The following is a 13,225-nucleotide window of genomic DNA, read 5'->3' on the forward strand; positions in this document are numbered from 1 at the left end:
GCTTATATCAGTCTTCAAAAATATCCATTTTAATAGTTCATTCATTCAGCAGTTATTTGTTTGGTATTTCTTTGCCTGACAGTCACTCTTCCAGGCACAGGGTGTATAGCAATGAGCAAAACAAGGCCCTGCCCTATGAGGTTTACATTCTAAGCTTTATAGGGCTTACAATGTAATAAAAGACATTAAAAAGAAATAAAAGACATAAATAAAAGAGAAATCAAAGACATAAATAGAAAATAGTGATAAAGTCTTCTAGAACTTTTTTTTAACTCAACATTATATCCAAGACTTACCTTATTTTATGTAACTATAGTTCATTTTTTTTTTTTTTTTTTTTGAGACGGAGTCTCACTCTATCGCCCAGGCTGGAGTGCAGTGGCACAATCTCAGCTCACTGCAACCTCTGCCTCCAGGTTCACGCAATTCTCCTGCCTCAGCCTCCTGAGTATCTAGGATTACAGGCTTGCACTACCATGCCCAGCTAATTTTTGTATTTTTAGTTGAGACAGGATTTCACCATGTTGGCCAGGCTGGTCTCAAACTCCTGACCTTGTGATCTGCCTGCCTCAGCCTCCCAAAGTGCTTGGATTACAGGTGTGAACCACCATGCCTGGCCAGTTCATTCATTTTTATTGCTGTATAATATTCCATGATAGGACCATAACTGTGGTAGGATAAAAATGGCCTCTCAAAGATATTGAATCCTAATCTTTGAAAACTGTAAATGTTACCTTATATGAAAACAGAGTCTGTAAAGATGTAATTAAGTTAAGGACCGTGAGATGGGGAGATTATTCCAAATTATTGGAGTAGACCCTAAATGCAATCACATGTATCCTTATAAGAGGGGGGCAGAAAGAGATCTGACACAGACAAAAGAGGAAAAGGCACAAGATGGAGGAGTGTTGTGGCCAAAAGCCAAGGAGTGCTGGCAGCCACCAGGAGCTGAAAGAGACAAGAGAGCCTCCAGAGGGAGCATAGATCTACTGACATCTTGCTTTAGGCCCAGTAATACTGATTTTGGACATCCTGGCCTCCCGAATGGTGAGAAAATAAGTTTCTGTTGTTTAGAGTCACGTAGTTTGTGATAATTTGTTACAATTATCATTAAAAAAAGTAATGCAGATTTTGGAACCAAGAGTGGAGTGCTGCTGTAACCAAAACCTAAAAATGTGGAGGTAGCTTTGGAATTGGGTAATGAGTAGAGACGAAGAATTTTGGGGAGCATGACAGAAAAAGCCTAGGTTTCTTTGAACAGATTGTTAGTAAAAATATGGATATTGGCTGGGTGTGGTGGCTCACGGCAACATGGCGAAACCCTGTCTCTACTAAAAATGCAAAAATTAGCTGGGCATAGTGGTGTGTGCCTGCAGTCCTAGCTACTAGGAAGGCTGAGGCAGGAGAATCACTTGAACCCAAGAGGTGCAGGCGGCAATGAGCCAAGATTGCGCCACTGCACCCCAGCCTGGGTAACAGAGCAAGACCTTGTCTCAGAAAAAAAAAGAAAAGAAAAAGAAAGATGGCTATTAAGGCTCTACCAGTGAGGACTCAGAACAAAATGAAGAAAATGTTACTAGAAACTGAAGGAGACGAGGTCCCTGTTCTATAGAGGTAGAAAGTCTAGCTATACTTTGTCCTACAGTTGCATGGAAAGCAGAATTTGTGAGTGATGCACTTGAATATTTAGCTGAGATGATTTCCAAGCAAAAGAGATGGGATCTTCTTTTGTCATCCAGGTTGGAGTGCAGTGGCACAATCCTAGCTCACTGCATCCTCAAACTCCTGGGCTCAAGTGATCCTCCTACCTCAGCCTCCCAAAATGCTGGAATTACAAGTATGAGCCACTGTGCCTGGCCTGAGTAAATATACACACACACACACACACACACACACACACACATATGTATATATATACACACAATATATATTGTGTGCATATATACATATATTTGTATATATACATATATATGTGTATGTGTGTGTGTGTGTGTGTGTATGTATATATATATATATATATATATATATATATATATATATATATATTCTATGCCTAAAGAAAAGGATCAGATGTCAGTGCAAATGGTATAGTAGAAAACTTCAAAAGTCCCTAAGGGCTTTGAAAAGCTCCTACATAGTCCAGGGAATAGAGGTGCACATGCGTGCCTAGGGCTGGGTGCATGCTCAGAAAAGACCTGAAGGGGTCCTAAATTCCCACCTCTACCTGATCTTCAGGCTCTCTGTAAGCAGAAGACAAAGGTTAAAGCACAGTTGTAAATTGCCTGGCTTAGAGTTGAAGGTATGTGCCGACACACATACAGAGCCATTCTGCAAAGACTGGAAGATTTTTATCACTGTTCTAGGTATTTAAGAAAATCTCTGTCAAGTCATTAGCTGATCACTAAGCTAATGAAACAAAGACTTTAGTGGATATACACAAGAAAAAATACAGACTTTACAAAATTAGTTCAGAAAAGTCACCAAAAAACAAAACAAAACAAAACAAAAAAATCCCAACAAGTACTACAAGCCTCAATAACAAACTCTGGGGTGCTGGGAGATTTCAGATTTGATTTCCAGAGTTGCTACATTTAAATATTAAAAATGTCCAGTTTCAAACAAAAATTATGAGACATTCAAAGAAACAAGAGAGCATAGTTTATGTGTGGGGAAAAAATAAACTAATAGAAACTGTTAGGTCAGGTGTGTTGGCTCACGCCTGTAATCCCAGCATTTTGGGAGGCCATGAATCACGAGGTCTGGGGTTCAAGACCAGCCTGGCCAAGATGTTGAAACCCCATCTCTACTAAAAATACAAAAATTAGCTGGGTGTGGTGGCACGCACCTGTGATCCCAGCTACTTGGGAGGCTGAGGCAGGAGAATCGCTTGAACCCGTGTGGCAGAGGTTGCAGTGAGCTGAGATTGAGCCACTGCACTCCAGCCTGGGTGAGAGAGCAAGACTGTGTCTCAAAAAAAAAAAAAAAAAAAGAAAGAAACTGTTTCTGAGGAAGCACAGACATTAGACTTTATAGATAGACTTTAAATCAACTATTTTATTGTATTAGTTAATTAATTATTTTTTGAGATGGAGTCTTGTTTTGTCACCCAGGCTGGAGTGCAGGGGCACTATCTCAGCTAACTGCAACCCCCACCTCCCAGGTTCAAGTGACTCTACTGCCTCAGCCTCCCGAATAGCTGGGATTATAGGCACCTATCACCATGCCTGGCTAATTTTTGTATTTTTAGTAGAGATGGAGTTTCACTATGTTGGCCAGGCTGGTCTCAAACTCCTGGCCTCAGGTGATCCACCTACCTCGGCCTCCCAAAGTGCTGCGATTACAGGGGTGAGCCACCACACCTGGCCTAAATCAACTATTTTAAATCTACTCAAAGACCTAAAGGAAACCATGAGAACTATATCTCACTAAATATAGAGTATAAATAAAGATAAATTATAAAAAGAAAACAAATAGAAATCCTGGAGTTTTAGGTATATGCCAAGAGGAACATTTAAAAAAAAAAGAAAAAAGAGAAAAATAAATTCTGGAGTTGAAGAGTATAATAACTGAAATAAAAATTCGCTAGAGGAGGTCAATATAGATTAGAGCAGGCAAAAGAAACAATCAGCACACTTGAAGATAAGTCCACTGAGATTAACAATCTGAGAAACAAGAATGGAGAAAAGCAAATGGAGTTTAAGAGACCCATGGAATACCATCGAGCATAACAACATATGCATAATGAAAGTCCCAGATGGAGAGGAGGCAGAGAAAGAAGAAGACAGAATATTTGAAGAAATAATGGCCCAAAACTTCCAATATGTAATGGAAGATTCAATCTTCACATTCAATAAGCCTAATGAATCCCAAGTAGGATAAACACAAAGAGATCAAAACCAAGATACATTAGAATCGAACTATTGAAAGACAAAGATAAAAAGAGAATCTTGATTTTTGTTGTTGTTGTTTTGAGACAGAATCTCACTTTGTTGCCCAGGCTGGAGTGCAGTGGCACGATCTCAGCTCACTGTAACATCTGCCTCCTCCGTGCCTGGCTAATTTTTGTATATTTAGGGGAGACAGGGTTTCGCCATGTTGACCAAGCTGGTCTCAAACTCCTTACCTTAAGTGATCCACCCACCTCGACCTCCCAAAGTGCTGGGATCACAGGCGTAAGCCACCATTCCCCGCCTGAAGAGAGAATCTTGAAAACAACAAGAGAAAAGTGACTCATCACATATAAGCTAATCTCAATAAGATTAACAGTTTATTTCTCATCAGAAACCATGGGGGCCAGATAGTGGGATGATATATTCAGAAAATGCTGAAACCAACAAACAAAAGAGGATTAAGATTTCTATATCTATCTATATATAACTAAGATTTCTATATCTGGCAAAGCTATCCTTCAGAAAAAAAAGGAGAACTCAAGACATCCTCAGATAAACTAAAGTCGAGAGAGTTTGTCGCTAGTAGACCTGCCATATAAGAAATGCTAAAGGGAGCTGTTCAGGTTGCTACTAAAGGACACTAGATAGTAACTCAAAACCACATGAAGAAATAAAGAACATCAGTAAAATAAATACATAGGTAAATATACATAGATAAATATAAAAGTTAGTATTACTGTATTTTTAGTTTAAACTCCTCTTTTTTCCCTTATATAATTTAAAATACATCTACAATAACCATAAATCTATGTTGATGGGCATGTAAGGCATAAAAATGTAATTACTGACAATAAAAACATGAAAGGTAGGGGATGAAGCTATAGAGGTTCAAAGATTTTGCATGCTATTGAAACTAAGTTGGTATTAATTAGAATTAGATTGTTAAATATTATTATTTAAATTTTTTGTTGTAGTTGCAGTTTTTGAGACCAGGTCTTGCTCTGTTGCTTGGGCTGGAGTGCAGTGTTGCGATTATGGCTCACTGCAGCCATGAACTCCTGGACTCAAGTGATCATCCCACCTCAGCCTCTGAGTAGCTGGGACTACAGGTGCACATCACCACATCTGGCTAATTTGGTGGGGGGGTGGCTAGATACGGGGTCTTTCTTTATTACCCAGGCTGGTCTCAAACTTCTGACCTCAAGCAATCCTCCTACCTCAGCCTCCCAAAGTGGTAGGGCTTGAGTCACCATGCCCAGCCAAATTGTTCAATATCCAAGACAACCACTAAGAAAATAACTAAAAGAAAAGAAAAGAAGGGAATCAAAAGAAAAAAAGAGAATCAAAATGGGGCACTAGAAAATATTTAACACAATAGAAGGCAATAATGAAGGAGTTGAGGAACAAAAAAACAAAAATATATAATGCATATAAAAAATAGCAAAATGGGAATAAATCCTTATCAGTAATTACATTAACTGTAAATGGATTGAATTATCCAATTGAAAGGCAGAGATTAGTAGAATTGATTTTTTTTAAAAAAAACATGATCCAGTGCTCACTTCAGCAGCACATATACTAAAATTGGAATGATACAGAGAAGATTAGCGTGGCCCCTGTGCAAGGTTGACATGCAAATTTGTGAAGCTTTCCATTATAAAATTAAAAAATTAAAAAAAAACCCCACATGATCCAACTATATATGCTGTCTACAAGAGCTTCGCTTTAGCTCAAATGACCCAAATTGTTGAAAGTGAAAGGATGGAAGATATTCCAGGCTAGGGGCAGTGACTCACGCCTGTAATTCCAGCCCTTTGGTAGGCTGAAGTGGGAGGATTTCTTGAGGCCAGGAGTTCAAGACCAGCTTGGGCAACGAAGTTATGCTATCTACTAAAACAAACAAACAAACAAAAAAACCTGGTATGGTGGCACACACCTGTAGTCCCAGCTACTCAGGAAGCTAAGGTGGGAGGATGGATCCCTTCGGCCCAGGAGTTTGAGGCTGCAGCCACTGCACTCCAGCTTGAGTGACAAGGGACTCTGTATTTAAATACTACATATATTCCATGAAAACTAACAAAAAGAGGGCTGGAGTGGATATCCTAATATTATAAAAAATAGACCTCAAGGCAAAAATTGTTACAAGGGACAAAGAGAAACATTTTGTAATGATAAAAGGTTCAATTCATCAAGAAGATATAACAATTATATATTTCACCTAACAGGAGAGTCCTCAAAGTATTTGAAGCAAAAATGGACAGAATTCAAAGTAGAAACAGGCCAGCAAGAATAGCTGGAAATATCGGCTGAGCACAGTGGCTCATGCTTCTAATCCCAGCACTTTGGGAGGCCGAGGTGGGCAGATCACCTGAGGTCAGGAATTCAAAACCAGTCTGCCCAACATGGTAAAACCCTGTCTCTACTAAAAATACAAAATTTAGCTGGGCATGGCAGTGTGTGCCTGTAATCCCAGCTATTTGGGAGGCTGAGGCAGGAGGATGGCTTGAACCTGGGAGGTGGAGGTTGCGGTGAGCCAAGATTGTGCTACTGCTCTCCAGCCTGGTAACAGAGCAAGACTCTGTCTCAAAAAATAAAAAAAAGTAATAAATAAATAAATAAATAAATAAAAAGAATAGTTGGAAACGTCAATACTTCACTTTCAATAATGGCTAGAACTACACACTAGATAAGGACATAGAAGACTTGAACAGTGCTAACTCTACCCAACCATAGCAGAATATACATTCTTCTCAAAGTACACATAAAACATTCCCCAGGATAGACCATATGTTAGACCACAAAATAAGTCTTAATAAATTTTAAAGAATTGAAATCATATGAATTATCTTTCCAACCACAAAGGAATGAAATTAGAAATAACAGAATTAAAAGTGAAAAATTCACAAATATGTGGGAATTAAGCAACACACTCTTAACTGCCCCACGGATCAAAGAAAAAATCACAAGAGAAATTAGATGAGATGAATGAAAATGAAAATACAGCATACCAAAACTTATCGAATACAGCAAAAGCAGTACTCAAAGGGAAATTTATAGCTGTAAAAACCTACATCAAAGAGAAGAAAGATCTCCAATTAATAACCTAAACTTCCAATTTAAGGAACTAGAAAAAGTAGAATAAACTAAACCCAAAGCAAGCAAAAGAAAGAATAAAAATTAAGAGTGGAGATAAATGAAATAGAAAAGAGAAAAACAACAGAAAGAATCAATGAAAACAAAAGTTGATTCTTCAAAAAGATCAAGAAAATTGATGAAACTTTAGACTGACCAAAAAAAAAAAAAGAAGACTCAAATTACTAAAGTTAGGAATAAGGCTGGAGTGGCTCACGCCTGTAATCTGAGCACTTTTGGAGGCCAGTGCGGGGGAATTGTTTGAGCTCAGGAGTTCAAGACCGGCTTGGGCAACATAAGGAAACCTTGTCTCTGCTAAAAATAAAATATTAAAAAATTAGCCAGGTGTGGTGGCACATGTCTGTAGTCCCAGTTATTTGAGAGGCTGAGGCAGGAGGATTACTTGAGCCCAGGAGATTGAGGCTGCAGTGAACTATGATCTTGCCACTGCACTCCAGCCTGGGCAACAGGGTGAGACTCTGTCTCAAAAAAAAAAAAAGGAACGAAAGTAGAAAAATTACTACTAGCTGGACATGGTGTCTCGTGCCTGTAGTCCTAGCTACTGGGGAGGTTGAGGCAGGAGGATTGCCTTGAGCCCAGGAGTTCAAAGCTGCAGTGAGCTATGATCGTACCACTTCTCTCCATCCTGGGTGATAGAGCAAGATGCTGTCTCTAAAGTAAATACATAGGCTGGGTGCAGTAGCTCACGCCTGTAATCCCAGCACTTTGGGAGGCCGAGGCTGGCAGATCACCTGAGGTCGGGAGTTCGAGACCAGCCTGACCAACATGGAGAAACCCTGTCTCCACTAAAAATACAAAATTAGCCAGGCATAGTGGCGCATGCCTGTAAACCCAGCTACCCGGGAGGCTGAGGCAGGAGAATCACTTGAACCTGGGAGGTGGAGGTTGCGGTGAGCCGAGATCATGCCATTGCATTCCAGCCTGGGCAACCAAGGGTGAAACTCCGTCTCAAAAAAAAAGAAAAAAAAAAGTAAATACATAAATGAATGAATAAAAATTAAAAATAAAAATGTGGCCAGGCATAGTGGTTATGCCTGTAATCCTGGCATTTTGGGAGGCCAAGGCGAGAGGATTCCTTGAGCCCAAGAGTTCGAGACCAGCCTGGGCAAGATGGTGAGACCCTATCTCTACAAAAAGTTTAAAAGTTAGGCTGGGCGCGGTGGCTCACGCCTGTAATCCCAGCACTTCGGGAAGACGAGGTGGGCGGATCACTTGTCAGGGGTTTGAGACCAGCCTGGGCAACATGGTGAATCCTTGTCTCTACTAAAAATACAAAAATTAGCGGGGCATGGTGGCACTTGCCTATAGTCCCAGCTACTCAGGAGGCTGAGGTGGGAAAATGACTTGAACCCGGGAGGTGGAGGTTGCAGTGAGCCGAGAATGCACCACTGCACTCCAGCCTGGGCAACAGAGCAAGACTCCATCTCAAAAAAAAAAATGTAAAAATTAGCCAGGCACTGTGGCACGTGCTTGTAATCCCAGCTGCTTGGGAGGCTGAGGCAGGAGGCTCCCTTGAGCCTAGGAATTCAAGGTAGCAGTGAGCTATGATCACACAGCTGCACTCCAGCCTGGGTGATAAAGTGAGATTCTGTTTCTATAAATAAATAATAAAATAAATAAAACATTTTAAAAAGAAAAACTACTACCAACCTTACAGATACAGAAAGAATTATAGAACACTATGAAAAATTGTATGACAACAAACTAGATAACCTAGATTAAATGAACAAATGCCTAGAAACCAAAACTTCCTCAAGAAGAAACAGAAAACTTGAATAGACCTCAAACACAAGATTGAATCAGTAATCAAAAAACTTCCAATAGAGAAACGATTAGGAGCAAATAAAGAATAAATGCCAATCCACAAACTGTTCCAAAAAATAGAGAAGAATATACTTCATAACCCATTCTCTTGTGCCAGTATTATCCTAAAACTAAAGCCAGACAATATCTCACAAGGAAAGAAATATAAAGACCAGGCTGGGCGTGGTGGCTCACGCCTGTAATCCCAGCAATTTGGGAGGCTGAGGCAGGTGTATCACGAGGTCAGGAGATCGAGACCATCCTGGCTAATGTGGTGAAACCCCATCTCTACTAAAAATACAAAAAATTAGCCAGGTGTGGTGGCAGGCACCTGTAGTCCCAGCTACTCGGGAAGCTGAGGCAGGAGAATGGCGTGAACCCAGGAGGCGGAGCTTGCAGTGAGCCCAGATCGCACCACTGCACTCCAGCCTGGGCAGCAGAGCAAGACTCTGTCTCAAAAAAAAGAAGGAATATACGGACCAATATCCCTTATGAATATAGATGCAAATATCCTCAACCAAATACTAGCAAATCCAATCCAGCAACATGTTAAAAAGATTATACATCGTGTCCATGTGGGATTTATCATGGGAATGCAAGCAAGGTAGTTGAACATATGAAAATCAGTGTAAAGGCCAGGCATGGTGGCTCATGCCTATAATCTTAGCACGTTGTGAGGCCTAGGCGGGCAGATCACTTGAGGTCAGAAATTTGAGACCAGCCTGGCCAGCATGGTGAAACCCCACCTCTACTAAAAATACAAAAATTAGCCAGACATGGTGGCGTGCTCCTGTAATCCCAACTACTTGGGAGGCTGAGGCAGGAGAATCGCTTGAAACCAGAAGATGGAGGTTGCAGTGAGCCATGATCGCACCACTGCACTCCAGCCTAGGCAACAAGAGCAAAACTCCGTCTCAAAACAAACAAACAAGATGTGCTTTGTTAAACAGATGCTTGAAGGCAGCATGATCGTTAAGAGTCATCACCACTCCCTAATCTCAAGTAATCAGGGACACAAACACTGTGGAAGGCCGCAGGGTCCTCTGCCTAGGAAAACCAGAGACCTTTGTTCACTTGTTTATCTGCTGACCTTCCCTCCACTATTGTCCCATGACCCTGCCAAATCCCCCTCTGTGAGAAACACCCAAGAATTATCAATAAAAAAATAAATTAAAAAACAAACAAACAAACAAACAAAAAACACCTGAGCTCAAACAATTCTCCCTCCTTGGTCTCCCCAAATGCTGGGATGACATGCATGAACCACTGCACCTGGCAAATTATGACATGATCTTATATGTAGTAAACCCTAAAGAATCCACACAAAAACTATTACAGCTAGTAAATAAATTCAGCAAAGTTACAGGATACAAGATTAATATACAAAAATCAGCTGTATTTCCATACATTAGCAATAAACAATCTGAAAATAAAATTAAGAAAATAATGCCATTTACAAAATGGAACTTTATTCTTATTAAAAAGAATAAGAGACTTCGGAATATTTTTAACCAAGAAGATGCAAGACTTGTACACTGAAAACCCTACGACAGTGGTGAATGAAACTAAAGAATACCTAAATAAATGAAAAGACATCCTATGTTCATGGATTGGAAGACTTGATGTTGTAAAGATGACTAAGTGATCTACAGACTCAGTGTAATCCCCATCAAAATTCCAACTGCGTTTTTTGCAGAAATGGGCAAGGCGATCCTAAAATTCACATGGAATTGCAATGGACCCCAAATAGCTAAAACCATCTTGAAAAAGAACAAAGTTGGAGAACTTACACTCCTGGTTTCGAAATTTCTACGTAGCTACATAATTAAAACAATGAAATATTGAAGTGACATATAGCTCAATAGAATTGATAGTCCAGAAATAAACCCATATATGTATTATCAATTGATTTTCAACATGTATGCCAAGACAAGTCAATAGGAAAGAATATGCTTTTCAACAAATATACATGGACACCTGGATAGCTACATGCAAAAGAAGAAAGTTGGACCTTTACCTCAAATGATACATAAAAATTAACTCAAAATAGGTCAAATTCCTAAATGTAAGAACTAAAGCGATAGAAGTTTTAGAAGAAAACGTACGGGTAAATCTTCATGACCTTGGATTTGACAGTGTCAAAATTTATCTAAATTAAAATTTTAATGTTTAAAATTCAAAATGAATTAAAAACTTTCATGCATCAAGGAACCTCCTCAAGAAAGTAAAAAAGATGATCTACAGAATGGGAGAAAATATTTGTAAATCACGTGCTTGATAATGGTCTAGTATCCAGAATATATAAATAATTCTAACAACAACAAGAAGGCAAACAATCCAACTGAAAAAATGGGCAAAAGACTTGGATAGACATTTCTCCAATGAGGATAAACAAACAGCCAATAAGCACATGAGAAGATACTTAACATCGTTTGCCATCTGGGAAATGAGAATCAAAACCACAATGAGATACTACTGCACACCTACTAGGATGGCTTTAGCATCAGTAAATATGTAAACACTACATACATAAGTGGAAAAGGTGAATTTTACAGGACACGGATTGCCCCTCAATATTAAAATTATAAAAAAAAGACTGGAAGGAAATACATCAAAATGATAACCTTGTTTGGGAGTTTGTTTTGTTTTGTTTTAAACTGCTCTGTAGTTTCCTAATTGTTTATAACAAGCATTTAGTCCTTTTGAATTGTAAGCAATAGTCTTAAATCTCTCTTATAGTTGTATAAAGCAGGCATACATGAATCTTCCTCCCCTCCCCTCCCTTCCTCCCTCCTTCAAAATAAATTAAAAACTTTTGTGCATCAAGGAACCTCCTCAACAAAGTAAAAAAGACGACCTACAGAATGGAGTCCTCCCTACCTCCTTCCCTTCCTTCCCTTCCTTCCTTTCCTTCCCTTCCTTCCCTCCTTCCTTCCTTCCTTCCTTCCTTCCTTCCTTCCTTCCTTCCTTCCTTCCCTCCTTTGTTGAGACAGGGTCTTGCTCTGTCACCTAGTCTGGACTGCAGTTCTGAGCTGGTGTGATCATAGCTCACTGCAGCCTCAAACTCCTGGGCTCAAGCAATCATCCGACCTCAGCCTCCCAAAATGTAGGGATTGTATGTGTGAGCCACTGCACCAGGGCAGATTCTGCATTGGTAACAAGCTTCCAAATGATGTAACTGGGCCCCAGACCTCAGTTTGAGAAGCCAGGTTCTAGAAGTCAGCAGCAGGAAGGAATGGACCAATTAAGCAAATCAGCAAAGCAGAGGGACCACAGAAAAAAGGACGATGCTCCCGGGCCCCTCCCCCGGGACATATTTACACTAAAAATTATTCACTTTTCTATCTGAAGTTCTTATTTGCCTGACTGTCCTGTAGTTGTTTTGCCAGGATGTCATCTAATGTTTGTTTTTGTTTTGGACACGGAGTTTCGCTCTTGTCAACCAGGCTGGAGTACAATGGTGCAATCTTGGCTCACTGCAACCTCTGTCTCCCGGGTTCAAGTGATTCTCCTGCCTCAGCCTCCCCGAGTAGCTGGGATTACAGGCATGCGCCACCATGCCTGGCTACTTATCTTTGTATTTTTAGTAGAGACGGGATTTTGCCATGTTGGCCAGGCTGGTCTTGAATTCCTGACCTCCCGTGATTCACCCGCCTCAGCCTCCCAAAGTGCTGGGATTACAGGTAGGAGCCACCACACCTGGCCTGGCCTGTAGTTTTATTGGCTAAGTCTGGTAGCCCTAGCATGGGTGGAGAAGGCTGTAGCTGTGGAAGCCCAGCCAGTCTGCATCTGAGGCAGGGAAAGGCAGCTAAGGCAGCCTGCCGTCAGCCCATTGACCTGACAGATAGGGGCCAATGTGGCTTACTCCTCATCTAGCCTACCCTTGTGCCGTCCTCTCCAACATCCATCCACCTGACAGATGGATGACCCTTCCTCTTCCCCAGGGGTTGTTTTGATGAGTAGATGACATTTCTAAAGAGCGCTTAGTGCACTGCCTGACACCTGGTAAGTGGTCAAGATGGGGAGAACTGATTGTTTCTACTATTCTTTCCCTCTCACAGTGGCCACCGCAGCGCTAAACACGGTCGGTCGGCATTCAGTGCTCGCCGTGGAAGCGAACCGCAGGAGCATCCTGGGGCAGCGGGGAGTTGCTGCACTCACCTAGACAGGCGGCCTACTGTGACTTCAGGCAAGTCATTTTCCTTCTCTGTGCCTCAGTTTCTTTGTCTGCAAAATGAGCAGCTGGACTAGAAACTTACCATTCTTTCACAGCACGTCAAACTCAACATGCCCATTTGAGCTGAAGACACTGAGGCTACTCACTGGGTGTGAACCTTTGACAGCATCCAGGCCCTGCACAGTTGTCTAGGAGAAGCCTG

The 13,225-nt window shown here is 40.8% G+C and overlaps 1 protein-coding gene and 1 pseudogene across 1 annotated transcript in view, besides 3 other annotated features; one reads left to right on the forward strand and one right to left on the reverse strand.

Annotated features, from left to right (window-relative positions):
- RAB3IL1 (RAB3A interacting protein like 1) overlaps window positions 1-13,225 on the reverse strand; it is a 49,023-nt gene that overhangs the window by 35,149 nt on the left and 649 nt on the right. The window lies entirely within an intron of this gene.
- Window positions 5,445-5,551, forward strand: RNU6-1243P (RNA, U6 small nuclear 1243, pseudogene; annotated as a pseudogene).
- Window positions 6,071-6,219: a silencer, noted in NCBI's record as "fragment chr11:61705992-61706140 (GRCh37/hg19 assembly coordinates)". NCBI's record gives its function as "represses an EF-1alpha promoter that drives an FKBP-Casp9 reporter gene in an ReSE screen in HepG2 liver carcinoma cells {active_cell/tissue: HepG2}" and the evidence as "EXISTENCE:reporter gene assay evidence [ECO:0000049][PMID:32094911]".
- Window positions 9,404-10,058: an enhancer, noted in NCBI's record as "NANOG-H3K4me1 hESC enhancer chr11:61709325-61709979 (GRCh37/hg19 assembly coordinates)". NCBI's record gives its function as "activates a minimal SCP1, AML or CMV promoter by ChIP-STARR-seq in naive H9 embryonic stem cells {active_cell/tissue: H9 hESC(naive)}" and the evidence as "EXISTENCE:reporter gene assay evidence [ECO:0000049][PMID:30033119]".
- Window positions 11,228-11,729: an enhancer, noted in NCBI's record as "H3K27ac hESC enhancer chr11:61711149-61711650 (GRCh37/hg19 assembly coordinates)". NCBI's record gives its function as "activates a minimal SCP1, AML or CMV promoter by ChIP-STARR-seq in primed H9 embryonic stem cells {active_cell/tissue: H9 hESC(primed)}" and the evidence as "EXISTENCE:reporter gene assay evidence [ECO:0000049][PMID:30033119]".

The sequence above is a fragment of the Homo sapiens genome, chromosome 11, assembly GCF_000001405.40.
Source record: "Homo sapiens chromosome 11, GRCh38.p14 Primary Assembly".
Taxonomy (NCBI): Eukaryota; Metazoa; Chordata; class Mammalia; order Primates; family Hominidae; genus Homo; species Homo sapiens.